The sequence below is a fragment of the Homo sapiens genome, chromosome 20 (genome assembly GCF_000001405.40).
Source record: "Homo sapiens chromosome 20, GRCh38.p14 Primary Assembly".
NCBI classification, from domain to species: domain Eukaryota; kingdom Metazoa; phylum Chordata; class Mammalia; order Primates; family Hominidae; genus Homo; species Homo sapiens.
Genome location: NC_000020.11, coordinates 62,169,943 through 62,182,865, shown reverse-complemented (window position 1 = coordinate 62,182,865; position 12,923 = coordinate 62,169,943). Strand labels below are relative to the sequence as shown.

The window sequence follows — 12,923 nt, the reverse complement described above, 5'->3', positions numbered from 1 at the left end:
CCGCGCTTCTCGCCGGCGCCCTCGCTGCCCGAGCACAAGGACAGCCGCCCCGCCCGTTCCACCCGGTGCCCAAGGTCCCCCAGCTTCTCTGACCCCTCCGGCGTTTGCGGAACCTCCCGGGTCTGACGAGGACACCGCCGTTGCCCGAGGAGGCTACGGGGCAACGCAGAGCAGGCAGTGGGGACCGCAGGGCAGCCCCGGGGCGCCGTCCCCACCGCCCTTACCCTGGCTTCGCCTTGCCGCCGCGGGGAATCCGGTGCGGACGCACGCGAACTCTGCCCGGGAGCCGAGGTGACGATCTACCTGGTCTCGGTAATAAGTATTTGCAAAACACATCACACCAAAATCCCGTTAACTTCATGAAAACTCACTTTATAGGATGATTTTTGAAGAACCAGTTTATTAAGAGATTACACCAAAAGCATAAACAATTTATACGTCAAACTCCGACTGAAAAAAAAATAACCGATAAGGATGTTTTTTAAATGTACTGTACTCACAAATAACAAGACAAATTTGACCTGTTCAATAAATAGAAATGAAGTGGCTAAAAATGTTTAAATGGAAATGGAAAACAGTCGTCTTCTTTGTACAGTTTTGAAGGGGTGCCCCCTATTCACGCCTACACGTAGAAAAACCCTGACAAAATCAGAGGTTCACTTAACACTCCAACCATATGAGCGTATTAAGGTTTCTTTTCAGATCTTAGGAGATCTTGTCCACCTTAATCCCATTCACAGATCTTAGGAGATCTTGTCCACCTTAATCCCATCATAAAGACTGTTGGCATGAGTTCTGATGTACTGTTTTAATATGCTGAGTACTGTTGATTCAACAACAAACCTTAATGGGTGATGAGCTTTTGCATACCAATATGAATTTGTCAGCACTTCTGAAAACTGGCCATCATTTTTCAAATTCACAATTTGCTGGATGTCAGGGAACAATAGGAAGAAGAATGAGCGTCAATTTTCATGTCTTCCTTTGCTTCTTCACTGGCCTTCCATAGAAGTAGTCAGAAAAAAACAAAGCACCATCAACCACACTTCACAAACAATTCATGTTGGCCTAAGCTTTGCTCAACATTCATATGACAGAAGATAGAATAATGAAAAGGAACTGCTGGCATCACTTTCCCCATAATATTACATAAAAATGGACAGCACATTAAATAAACATTCTGTTATTAATCATTAAATATATTAACACCAAAAATCATGTATAAATTAGGAAATAAATGTACAAACTATTTTGCAAAGTGCTTTTTAAAATATATACACAACATTCAAGATATTCTTAATGTAAGACATTTCAGATTGAAGTTTTGGGGTAAGTGTCCTTTTCTTTCAGAAAGTATTATTAATACAGCACTTAAAAAAACACACAAACACACAAAAAAGGCATATTCCCAGATTGGCAAGGAATAAAAATAAACTATCTTCACAGTTATCTAAAATGTTTAACATTTTCAGTGGGAAATTTTAGTCCCCGATTGAGTTTGCAAATTAGGTCTATGAAAATTGACAGGAAAAGAACACAATCAAGGGAGATGACTCCCTAACTGAAATTGCTAACGCGTTTGTCAATTAGCAATTAAGAACTCTCATTTCGGTGATCGAATATGAACACATACGTTTATTTTTGAGCCCTTACCAGTGTTAAGGGTTTTAGAAACCCTTAGTGCCTACAAAATAAACACTTCTCTCCCCATTTGTGCGTGACATCCGTCTCCTAGGAGAGGGGAGAATGTCCTAGAACAGGACTGGTATTCAACACAGGCAAGTCCTTTAATCTGTGCCTCAGTTCTTCATCTCTAAAATGGGAACTGTTACCTGCCTCCAGATTTCCTCATAGGGGCTGTCAGAATTAATTCAAGCAAAACACATAAGTGACTTATAAATTCTAAAGCACCCGACTCTGGATAAAGAATTAATTTTAACTTATTTATTTATTTATTTATTTATTTTTTTGAGACGGAATTTCACTCTTGTTGCCTAGGCTCGGGTGCAATGGTGCGATCTTGCCCCACCACAACCTCTGTCTCCTGGGTTCAAGCCATTCTCCTGCCTCAGGTTCCCGAGTAGCTGGGATTACAGGTATGCACCACCATACCTGGCTAATTTTGTATTTTTAGTAGGGACGGGGTTTCTCCATGTTGGTCAGGCTGGTCTCGAACTCCCGACCTCAGGTGATCCGCCCGCTTCGGCCTCCCAAAGTGCTGGGATTACAGGCGTGAACCACCACGCCAAGAATTACTTTTAACTTTTAAAACAAAACATCAATTAAAGAGAAATATCGTTATTACTAGGCCTCATATATCAAGCATTGGATATCTCTTGTATTTTCTTGGTAGTTCTTGGAAATCTGTCAGCATTTATCCAAAGATTTTTTTAAAAGGATTCATAGCAAATATGAATATTATTATTCCAACTAAAGGTTGATCAAATGTCCATGCTACTTGTTAATTGAAATGTGGGATTTTTTTCCTTTGACCATACTTTTGCAAGTGTGCTGTCTTTAATGTTCACACAGAATTTAAATGGGATTTAATGTCTTAGAAATGTAAAAATTACTCAAGTTTCTCTATATAAAACCTTTACTTTTCATTAGAAAGAACACAGTAATGTAACTGGATGTGACTTTCAGACATCCCTAAAAGAAAAGAAATGCTTGCTTGGAGATCTGAGCAAGTAGGTCCTGGAAGAAATAATATAAAATAAACAACTTGCCAACTGTTGGGAAGATTTGGTTTGAATATTTAAAATTACCTATCAACTTAGAATTGGGCTTATTAAATATTCCAATCCCAGAAATGACCATCAGCTAAACAAGGGTCAAAGCCAGAGTAATCTCTGAGGGCCCACTTCCCAGAGAGCTGCCCCTTTCCTTCAGCAATACCGCTGGCCCTGGGTTAGGCAATTTGTCCACGGCCCTTAGGGATTCATATTTATTTGGAATACAGTCACTGATCCCTGTTTACTTTTTAATACAAAAACATGTACCTTTTTGGATAAACGGAATTGGCGAGAGACAGGCAATGGGCAAGCTCTGGAAGTGGCCATCTGTGGCCTCTCCCGTGGGAGATGTTTATCCTTTTCGTTACGTAACAGAAACTGACCCAACGCACAGAAGATGCCCTCCCACCCACCCCATCGAGGCACAGGAAGAGGCTGCCCTCCAGGGGCTGCATGTGTGTCCAGCTGTGGCGTAGCCAGTTAAAGAAAAGTTGACAACCCACACTACAACACTGCATGAGGAGGAAAATGAGACCTAACGTCTGTTGACGGGAACAGGTGGACTGTGGTGTCCTCGAGATCTGTCCTGTCCCTGGGCACAGAATGCTCTGATGACAAAATGACCCCCAAAGCTAGCTAGAAACATTGAGAAGGGGGCGGGGGACAAAAAAAGGATACCTCTCCGTGTACCGACATACAATACTATACACAGCACCAAAAGTATCACACCACCAAGCGCTGTCTCACGCCAGTGGTGTGCGCTCGGCGTCATACCCAGCATGAAATGAGCACGCTTCACATGCAGACGTGGCACTGGGCGAACAGGTAACCAACATGTCACAATTCACCAGAGCTGCCGCCAGCCCATCCGGCCCCTGGATGAACACGCTACCACAAGGGCTCCAGCCAGAATGTGTGTCCCTTACTGCTGGTAATTTCCATACTGGCCCTAAAAGAGATCAAGACACAGATTACACCCCTATAGTAATGAGTGAAAGGAAGACAGACGTCCACCCCAGCCCGGACAGGGGGTAGGAGGGACAACAGCAAGCAAACAACCTCTGCTCACATCTCTGCGGGGCAGCGAACGACTTTCCAGAAGCCACTGGCCAAGCCTGGGGCTAACAACGTAGACAGGGCCAAAGGTTCATTTGTTCAGTCACACACTGGCATCGCTGCGGCCGGGCCTGTGCCAGGCCTGGCATCAGAGCCTTATGCTGGGCCTGCTATGCAGGAAGGCTCTCCTCCAAGCTGGCCCCACTGGGAGCCAATGCAAACACCATCTGCCCCCGAGCCTGCTACAGTAAGAAAATGGGAGCGGGGACGACCAGGGTGATGGGTTTCAATCTATAAAAAAAAATCTAAAGACCCAGGCTGGGCAACATGGCCAGACTCCATCTCTACAAAAATCCAAATATTAGCTGGGTGTGGTGGCGTGTGCCAATAGTCCCAGATACTTGGAGGGTGAGGTGGGAGGATCGCTTGAGCCCAGGAGGTCAAGGCTGCAGTGAGCCGTGATTGCACCACTGCACTCTAGTCTGGGTGAGACCCTGTTTCAAAAACAAATCTGAATTTGGGAGGCCGAGGCAGGAGGACTGCTTGAGCCCAGGAGTTTGAGACCAGCCTGGGCAGTACAGCAAGACCCCATCTCTACAAAAAAAGAGAAAAAATTAGCCTCGGCCAGGCACAGTGGCTCACGCCTGCAATCCCAGCACTTTGGGAGGCCGAGGTGGGTGGATCATTTGAGGTCAGGAGTTCAAGACCAGCCTGGCCAACATGGTGAAACCCCATCTCTACTAAAAATACAAAAAAAAAAATTAGCCAGGTGGTAGTGGCACGTGCCTGTAATCCCAGCTACTTGGGAGGCTGAGGCAGGAGAATCACTGGGCCTGAGAGGTGGAGGTTGCAGTGAACCGAGATCATGCCACTGTATTCCAGTGTGGGTGACAGAGTGAGACCTTGTCTCAAAAAAAAAAAAAAAAAAAAAAAGAATAAGCCACATGTTGTGGCGCATGCCCCGGAGGTTGAGGCTGCGGTGAGCCATGTTCCTGCCAATGCACTCCAGCCTGGGCGACAGAGTGAGACCCTGTCTTAAAAAAAAAAAAAAAAAAAAAGGCCAGGCACAGTGGCTCATGCCTGTAGGATTACAGTCCCAGCACTTTGGAAGGATCACCTGAGGTCAGGAGCTCGAGACCACCCTGGCCAACATGGCGAAACCCTGTCTCTACTAAAAATACAAAAATTAGCCAGGTGTGATAGTACGTGCTTGTAATCCCAGCTACTCCGGATGCTGAGGCAGGAGAATTGCTAGAACCCGAGAGGCAGAGGCTGCAGTGAGCGAGATCGTGCCACTGCACTCCAGCCTGGGCAACAGAGCAAGACTCCATCTCAAAAACAACAACAAAAAACAACATGAAGAAGAGAAACTAGAGAGCCTGTGCCCCACAAGGCCACAAGGCAGAATTCCTTGGGCAGCAAAACGGAGCATCGGACCTGTGGTGAAAGCCACTCGGGAGACTGCCACAGGGGAAGACAACGGATCATCATCTGCATGCCTGTTCTCCATGTGTCCCCAGCTAGTTAATGATCAGATTTCCCGAATGCCCCCAGCGAGGAAGTGGGGGAGGGAGGAAAGCTGTTCCAGCCTGACCGAACACGTCACATTCTCATTCCCAGAGCTGCCTGTGATGATTCTAGTTAGTGGGAGTCTGTTCTGATGTCTTTCTGCTCCTGCACCATTGGGTAAGACGGAAAGCCTCAAATCCAGAGCTGCTCAGCTGAAGGCATGGCAGCCCTGGAGCCCTATAAAACCACTGGCAGCCCCAATGCCTCAGCACCTTTTTTTTTTTTTTGAGACAGAGTTTCGCTCTTGTTGCCCATGCTGGAATACAATGGCGCGATCTCAGCTCACTGCAACCTCCGTCTCTATCTGCTCCCGCCCGCCTCTGCTTTCCAAAGTGCTATAGGCGTGAGCCACAGCGCCTGGCCGCCTCAGCACATGTTTAAGTGTAGCCCAGTGGTTCTCAAACGGAGACAGTTTTGCCCCTGGGGCATCTGACAATGTCTGGAGTCATTTTAAATTGTCAGACTGGGCAATGGGGGTGCTACTGGCATCGTGGTGGAGGCCAGGGGTGCTGCAAACATAACACAGTGTGCACAATGGCCCCTAGGAGACGCCCAGCGCCGGCAGTGCTGTGCCAAAGCGCCACGGCCAGCTACACTGGATGCTGACTAAAGGCTATCTTAATATTTTGCAGTTAGATGGACACATTTCCCCCCAGATGTGAAATTCTATTCTCTATCTTCCCCATTGCTCTGTGTCTTTTTCTTTTTTTTGAGATGGAGTCTCTCTGTCGCCCAGGCTGGGGTGCAGTGGCGTGATCTCAACTCACCTCTGCCTTCCCGGTTCAAGCGATTCTCCCACCTCAGCTTCCCCAATAGCTGGGCTTACAGGCACCCGGCTAATTTTTGTATTTTTAGCAGAGATGGGGTTTCACCATGTTGGCCAGGCTGCTCTCCAACTCCTGACTGCAGGTGATCTACCCGCCTCAGCCTCCCAAAGTGCTGGAATTACAGGTGTAAGCCCCCACGCCTGGCCTTTCTTTTTCCTTTTTTTAAGACAAAGTCTCGCTCTCTGTAGCCCAGGCTGGAGTGTAATGGTGCAATCACGACTCACTACAGCCTCGACCTCCTGGGCTCAAGGGATCCTCGTGCCTCAGCCTTCCAAGTAGCTGGGATTACAGGCATGCACCACCATGCCTGACTACTTTATTTTTTGTAGAGACAGGTCTTGCTATGTTACCCTGGCTGGTCTCAAACTCCTGGGCTCTAGTGATCCTCCTGCCTTGGCCTCCCAAAGTGCTGGGATTACAGGCATGGGCCACCACGACCGGTCACGGTCTTTTCATAGGTAGGTATAAAGTTATATGTCCTCTGGTTCAGTCTTATAATTAAGTTAGGACATTCACTTATTTCACAAAATCCAAATAAGTTATTTTCAGGACTGTATGAAGGAGGTATGGCGTCTCATCAGAATCATTCACATATAATTCTAATTTAACATCAGGATGCAGACTGCTGTCCTTCCAGACTCCAGCATGACACTCCTGTGCAAACCTGGAGGGCCAAGCTGGGGCCTGCTCCCCGCTGACCAGCGCCCAGCACACACTGGGGAGAGGCGGCCCCTGCGTCGGCTACAGTGGCCTCACAGTGTCCTGAGAGCACACCAGAGCCCTCCTGACATCTGTGTAAATGCCTCATCAGCGTGCCCTTCCCAGGCATGGCCGAGTACGGTGCCCTGGCAGGGAGACTGTGTTACATGGTCTTTAGGCTTCTCTACATCTACCTGGTGACCCTTTGCCCTCTTGAAGAAGGAGGACGAGAAGCATTTAAAAAACAGTCTTTGGCCTCTTACCTACCCAATTCCCTGAGAAAAACAAACTTGAGCGATGTAGTGCTTTGAAATTTCACTGGCAGTGTAAAGTGTCCCTAACACCTCCAGCCACCTCAGAGTCACCAACACAGAGCCACTTCCTGCTAAGGACTCTCTCAAAGGAGGCTCCAAAAAATGTCCCAGACCATTCTCCTTCATATGCCCTGTGCTCCAGCCACCGAGCCTCCTTCAGGCTGCCTTCACTGGGACAAACCTCCTGGTGCCTCAGGACCTTGGCACGCCCTCTTCCCTTGCCTGGCTCATTCTCCTCTAGGAGGCCCTCGCTCCTGCAGTGCTCCCACCACACAGACCCTGTCCTCCTCCAGGGGCCCCATCCCACTCAGAGGGAAAGCGATGTCTGCTTTATGGAGGCCCCTACGCCCACCTGTCCCTGTCACCTCCCGCCACACCGGCCTCCTCACTGTCCCGAGAGCTCCCGCTCTTCCATCTTCCAAGCTGCTCTTTCCTCAGCTCCTTCAAAGCCCTGCTCACTGTTCCTGGGCAGAAAGGGCTTCCCCCTCCCTAGGCTGAGCCTGGGGCTGCCAGCCACTCCCCGCTGTGTCTTCGTCCTGGAATTGCCCACACGGGCCAAATGCGGTCGCCTGCGCCCCCATCTGGAAGGCGGGCTCCATTTGGGGCCCCCCGCTCTGTCCTCAGCACAGTCTGGCCCTGTGGGACCACCTTATGTCTCTGTAGCGAGACATAAGCTCTAAAAGTGCAGGGTTCGTGTCGCGGCCACACACCAAGCACTCAGCAGAGACCGGACGCGTACCCAGTACGTGACAAACACTGGCAGAGTGAATGAATGTGAGAACCAGGCGTGCAGATCTAACGGTGAGCTTAGGGTATGAAAAGCCAGCTGGATGACTGAGGTGAGCGTATACACAGAGGCAATTCTGCAAAACCTTACAGGCTCAGAGACTTAACGTTCTGGAAGGAACCCTGGAAGCCAGTTAGTTCCAGCTCATTATTCCTCATGGCCATAAGAGAAATCTTCATTATGTCTCGACAGGCGCGGCGGATGGGCACATCTGGAAACATCCAGAAAGCTTGCCTGTTCATAGCCGTAGGGCCGCTGCTGCTGGGCAGACGGCGCTGTCTGCGGTGCTCGGTAGCTTCCGTACTGCTGGCCTTGGCCTTGCTGGTAGCCGGGGTACTGTGACGGGGCTCCCTGGGCAGACCCTGAGAAGACACCAGGAACCGTGAGGCCGGCCAAAACGGACACCTCTTTCTTTTTTTTTCTTAACTTAAAAATTTTTTTTAAAACTTCCTCTTCTCCTTGAAAAATTCCCGTCTCAATGCATCAGCCTTTTGTCAATCTCCAGAACACCTGGCACCTGCACGTGGCTCCACGTTAACTCTGTACAGCGAGAGCACCACGTAACCGACTCACCAGCCCCTCCAGTCCTGTGAGGTCCCAGGACTGTGCCCCAGGCCCCCCACCAGCATGGCGAGGGCTGATGGGCTCTCTCCATCACCCCAGAACTGCTGCTACCTGAAGGCAGGACAGCCCTCCAGAACCCGCTGGCCCCAGTCACACTGGCTGCTGTAACTTGTCACTGAACTACCACGGGAGCTGCTGAAAACCTGCAGGCAGGTGAGACAGAGACATCGTCTCTAGGAAGGCTAAGTCAAAGGCTCCGGCAAGAACTGATAGAGGCCAATTTTTTTTTTTTTTTTTAGGCAGGGTGTCACTCTGTCACCCAAGCCAGGCTGGAGTGCAGTGGCGTGATCTTGGCTCACCGCAACCTCCACCTCCCAGGCTCAAGTGATTCTCCTGCCTCAGCCTCCCAAGTAGCTGGGACCACAGGAGTGTGCCACCATGCCTGGCTAATTTTTGTATTTTTTGTAGAGATGGTCTCACTATGTCATCCAGGCTGGTCTCGAACTCCTGGGCTCAAGCAATCCTCCTGCCTCAGCCTCCCAAAGTGCTGGGATTATAGACATGAGCCACCACACTGAGCCTCAAGTAATTTATTTTTTTATTTTTTGAGGAGTCGTCTCACTCTATCGCCTAGGCTGAAGTGTAGTGGTGTGATCTCGGCTCACTGCGACCTCTACCTCCTGGTTCAAGCAATTCTCCTGTCTCATCTCCTGAGTAGCTGGGACTATAGGCCCCCACCACCATGCCCAGCTAATTTTTGTATTTTTAGTAGAGACGAGGTTTCACCATATTGGTCAGGCTGGTCTTGAACCCCTGACCTCAGGTCATCCGCCCACCTCAGCCTCCCAAAGTGCTGGGATTATAGGCGTGAGCCACCACGCCTGGCCTCAAGTAATTTTTATACTATTTAATTAGTAATGGCTGTAAAGGGCTGAATAAGCACAGCAGAATCAGGCACGTGCCTCATAAGAAACCACGTGTGTGGAGCTCATCCTGAGAACTGAGATCTTGCTCCAACAAAAGACCTGGGGCAGCCCACACCTTATTTTTCAGAAGTTTCCTGGGTGATTGTAAGCTGCAGTGAAGGCTGAGACCCACAGGCTTTGACCTGCTCTGTCAAAGAGGTTGAAGCTGGGCCTGAGGCGTGCAGGTGATGGATACACGGGACACTGGCTCCCGTCACAGGCCACGTGGGCAATGAATTTATGTTTAAGTTAAAATAAGATGTTTCAGGTCTACGTGCATGGATGTTTCCAACTTTTCTGGAAACCTAAAGGTATTCAAAATAAGTTTATTACACATCTGCCTGAGCACCAGGGTCACCGGGCACGTACCCACATGTGGCAGGGGCAGGGGTGGGCGCTGGGGGGCCCCGAGGAGCGTGCTCGCCTCTTACCGTAGCCCTGCTGCTGCCCAGGGTAGCTCTGCTGGCTGGGGTACTGAGCACGTACCCATGTGTGGCAGGGGCAGGGGTGGGCGCTGGGGGGCCCCGAGGACCGTGCTCGCCTCTTACCGTAGCCCTGCTGCTGCCCGGGGTAGCTCTGCTGGCTGGGGTACTGCTGCTGGGAGTACGTCTGCTGCTGCGCGGCACCCTGCTGGTACCCGGCCTGCTGCTGGCTGTACTGGGAGTTTCCTGGAGGGAGGAGGAGACACAGAAATGACTTTCCCCACCTGGGCTAAGGGGGCTCATTCTGTGGCCCACTCACGACACGGTAACTTTGGAATCCCAAAACCAAATCCATTGCTTCGGCATGTTTATTTTTTCACAACCATTCAAATACTATACTACACCTTTATCTTATAGAAATACAAATGGAAAGCTAAGAAACGAAATGGTTAATATGACAACTAAGACAGAGATGAACGCCAGCGTCGCGGGTCAAATGTGCTCCCCAGAGAGATGCTGATGTCCTAACTCCAAGTACCTGTGAATGGAACCTTATTTGGACATAGGGTCTTTGCAGATATAATTTTTTTTTTTTTTTTCAGAGACAGGGCCTCGCTCTGGGACCCAGGCTGGAGTGCAGTGGTGCAATGAGGGCACACTGCAGCCTCCATCTCCCTGGCTCAAGTGTTCCTCTCACTTCAGCCTCCCAAGTAGCTAGGACTACAGTGTGTGCCAGCGTGCCCAGATAATTTTTTTTTTTTTTTGAGATGGAGTTTCGCTCTGTTGCCCAGGCTGGAGTGCAGTGGCGAGATCTCAGCTCAGTGCAAGCTCCGCCCCACCCGGGTTCACGCCATTCTCCTGCCTCAGCCTCCCGAGTAGCTGGGACTACAGGTGCCCGCCACAACGCCAGGCTAATTTTTTGTATTTTTAGTAGAGATGAAGTTTCACCATGTTAGCCAGGATGGTCTCGATCTCCTGACCTTGTGATCCGTTCACCTTGGCCTCCTAAAGTGCTAGGATTACAGGCGTGAGCCACGGTGCCCGACCATGCCCAGGTAATTTTAAATCTTTTGTAGAGACAGGGTCTCTCTATGTTGCCCAGGCTGGTCTCGAACTCTTGGCCTCAAGCAATCCTGCTGCCCCTGCCTTCCAAAGTGCTGGGATTACAGGCGTAAGCCACCATGCTCTGCGCAAAGAATCCATTTTCTACTTTACTTTTCTGGTTGGAAATAACTTTCCTTTTTTAGAAGCTGTAAAATTTAAGTATTTTAAAACTGCAATCTAGTATTTTTTTTAAATAACAGCTTTATTGAGATAATGCACACTGGAATGGCTTAAAAACCTATCAGGGTAATTCAATCTGTAGTTAGGTGGGATGACAAAACTAACACACGCTCTTATTCCAGGCTGAACTCCTCCTAAGGCGAGAGCTTCGGAAAAACTTACTTGAGCCTTTCCAGTTATTCTCTATCCAGGAAGTATCTTGAGTCTTGAACTTCCACGCCTTCCTCTAAATCCAGGGCCGGTTCCAGCAACAGCTGGCAAACGAGCTGTCACCGTCACGGGAGAAGACTTAAGGTCACTATCCTTTCTCCTGCCCCCATGAAAGCCATCTGAGACATGGGGGAGTGGGTTTTCAAGGGTGTCAGGCTTTTGGGGGTCAGCCTGCATATTCTCATGTTTTATAGCCCACTTTATTCTTTACATAATAAAGGAGCCAGTTTGTGGCCGGGTGCGGTGGCTCACGCCTGTAATCCCAGCACTTTGGGAGGCCGAGGCGGGTGGATCACAAGGTCAGGAGATCGAGATCATCCTGGCTAACATGGTGAAACCCCGTCTCTACTAAAAATACAAAAAATTTAGCCCGGCATGGTGGCGGGAGCCTGTAGTCCCAGCTACTCGGGAGGCTGAGGCAGGAGAATGGTGTGAACCCAGGAGGAGGAGGTTGCAGTGAGCCGAGATCGCATCACTGCACTCCAGCCTGGGCGATAGAGTGAGACTCCATCTCAAAAAAACATAAACAAAAAAAAAAAATAAAGGAGCCAGTTTGTAGGAAACGGGCCAGCTTTGCCCTGGCACCCAGCAGGTATGCAACAACTGTGAGAGTGCCAGCTCAGAACACCCAGCCCCAGCACACAGGGACCAGGCCTGGCTCTCACACCCCAGTGGGTGCTCAGGCGATCTAGTGGGAACTGGCAGCAGCCGCCCTATCCCCAAAGAAAGGGGGCTGCTGAGATAACTGCAGGGAAAGGGGGCACGACATCTGTGGAAAAGGCCTTTGCCGTTTTCAGATGTGTTGCATGAAATCTGCAGGGCTCGGGGGAGCCCAGGCCGTGCTCTCAACAGGACAGCAACGGGGCGGGCAGATGTGGGGCCTTCCTCCACAACCAGCAAGTACTCCAGGGTTCTTTCTTTTCTTTTCGAGATGGAGTCTCGCTCTGTCACCCAGGCTGGAGTGCAGTGGCACAATCTCGGCTCACTGCAAGCTCTGCCTCCGGGGTTCACGCCATTCTCCTGCCTCGGCCTCCTGAGTAGCTGGGACAACAGGCGCCCGCCACCACGCCCAGCTAATTTTTTTCTATTTTTAGTAGAGACGGGGTTTCACCGTGTTAGCCACGATGGTCTCGATCTCCTGACCTCGTGATCCGCCTGCCCCGGCCTCCCAAAGTGCTGAGATTACAGGCGTGAGCCACCGTGCCCAGCTCTTTTCTTTCTCTAAGAATCCTCTGGCATTCTGCGGGGTGCCCGTGAGAAGGTGCCGGGCAGCATGGCGCATCTGTGTGTGAAACAAGAGGCCACGGCACACCCTCTGCTTCCTCAGAAGGAGCAAGATGTGGACACAATGAGCCACGAGGAACATGTGAACGACGCTCAAAGCCGTGTCACATAAAAACACAGTGATCCACACGAGGACGCAGCCAAGGCGGCCCCAGCACTGCCCAGGGAAGATGAGTCCCACAGGCCCCGGCCACACCACCCTGTCGT

At 50.1% G+C, this 12,923-nt stretch overlaps 1 protein-coding gene across 11 annotated transcripts in view, besides 1 other annotated feature; it reads right to left on the bottom strand.

The window, feature by feature from the left end:
- Nucleotides 20-209: a silencer, noted in NCBI's record as "silent region_13102". NCBI's record gives its function as "represses an Ori minimal core promoter by ATAC-STARR-seq in GM12878 lymphoblastoid cells {active_cell/tissue: GM12878}" and the evidence as "EXISTENCE:reporter gene assay evidence [ECO:0000049][PMID:35858748]".
- SS18L1 (SS18L1 subunit of BAF chromatin remodeling complex) overlaps nucleotides 352-12,923 on the bottom strand; it is a 38,746-nt gene continuing 26,174 nt past the window's right edge. For 7 of the 11 annotated variants that reach the window (XM_047440083.1, NM_001301778.2, NM_198935.3 and 4 more), the window contains 3 exons: nucleotides 10,065-10,184; nucleotides 8,222-8,349; nucleotides 352-3,684 (listed from right to left, as the gene is read on the bottom strand). In XM_047440083.1, coding sequence (XP_047296039.1) covers nucleotides 3,658-3,684; nucleotides 8,222-8,349; nucleotides 10,065-10,184 — 275 coding nt within the window. In that variant the 3' untranslated portion in view covers nucleotides 352-3,657. Of the gene's footprint in view, nucleotides 3,685-6,547; nucleotides 8,350-10,064; nucleotides 10,185-12,923 lie in introns of those variants that run through there. The other 4 variants (XR_007067449.1, NR_125980.3, NR_125981.3 and 1 more) reach the window with 2 other exon arrangements.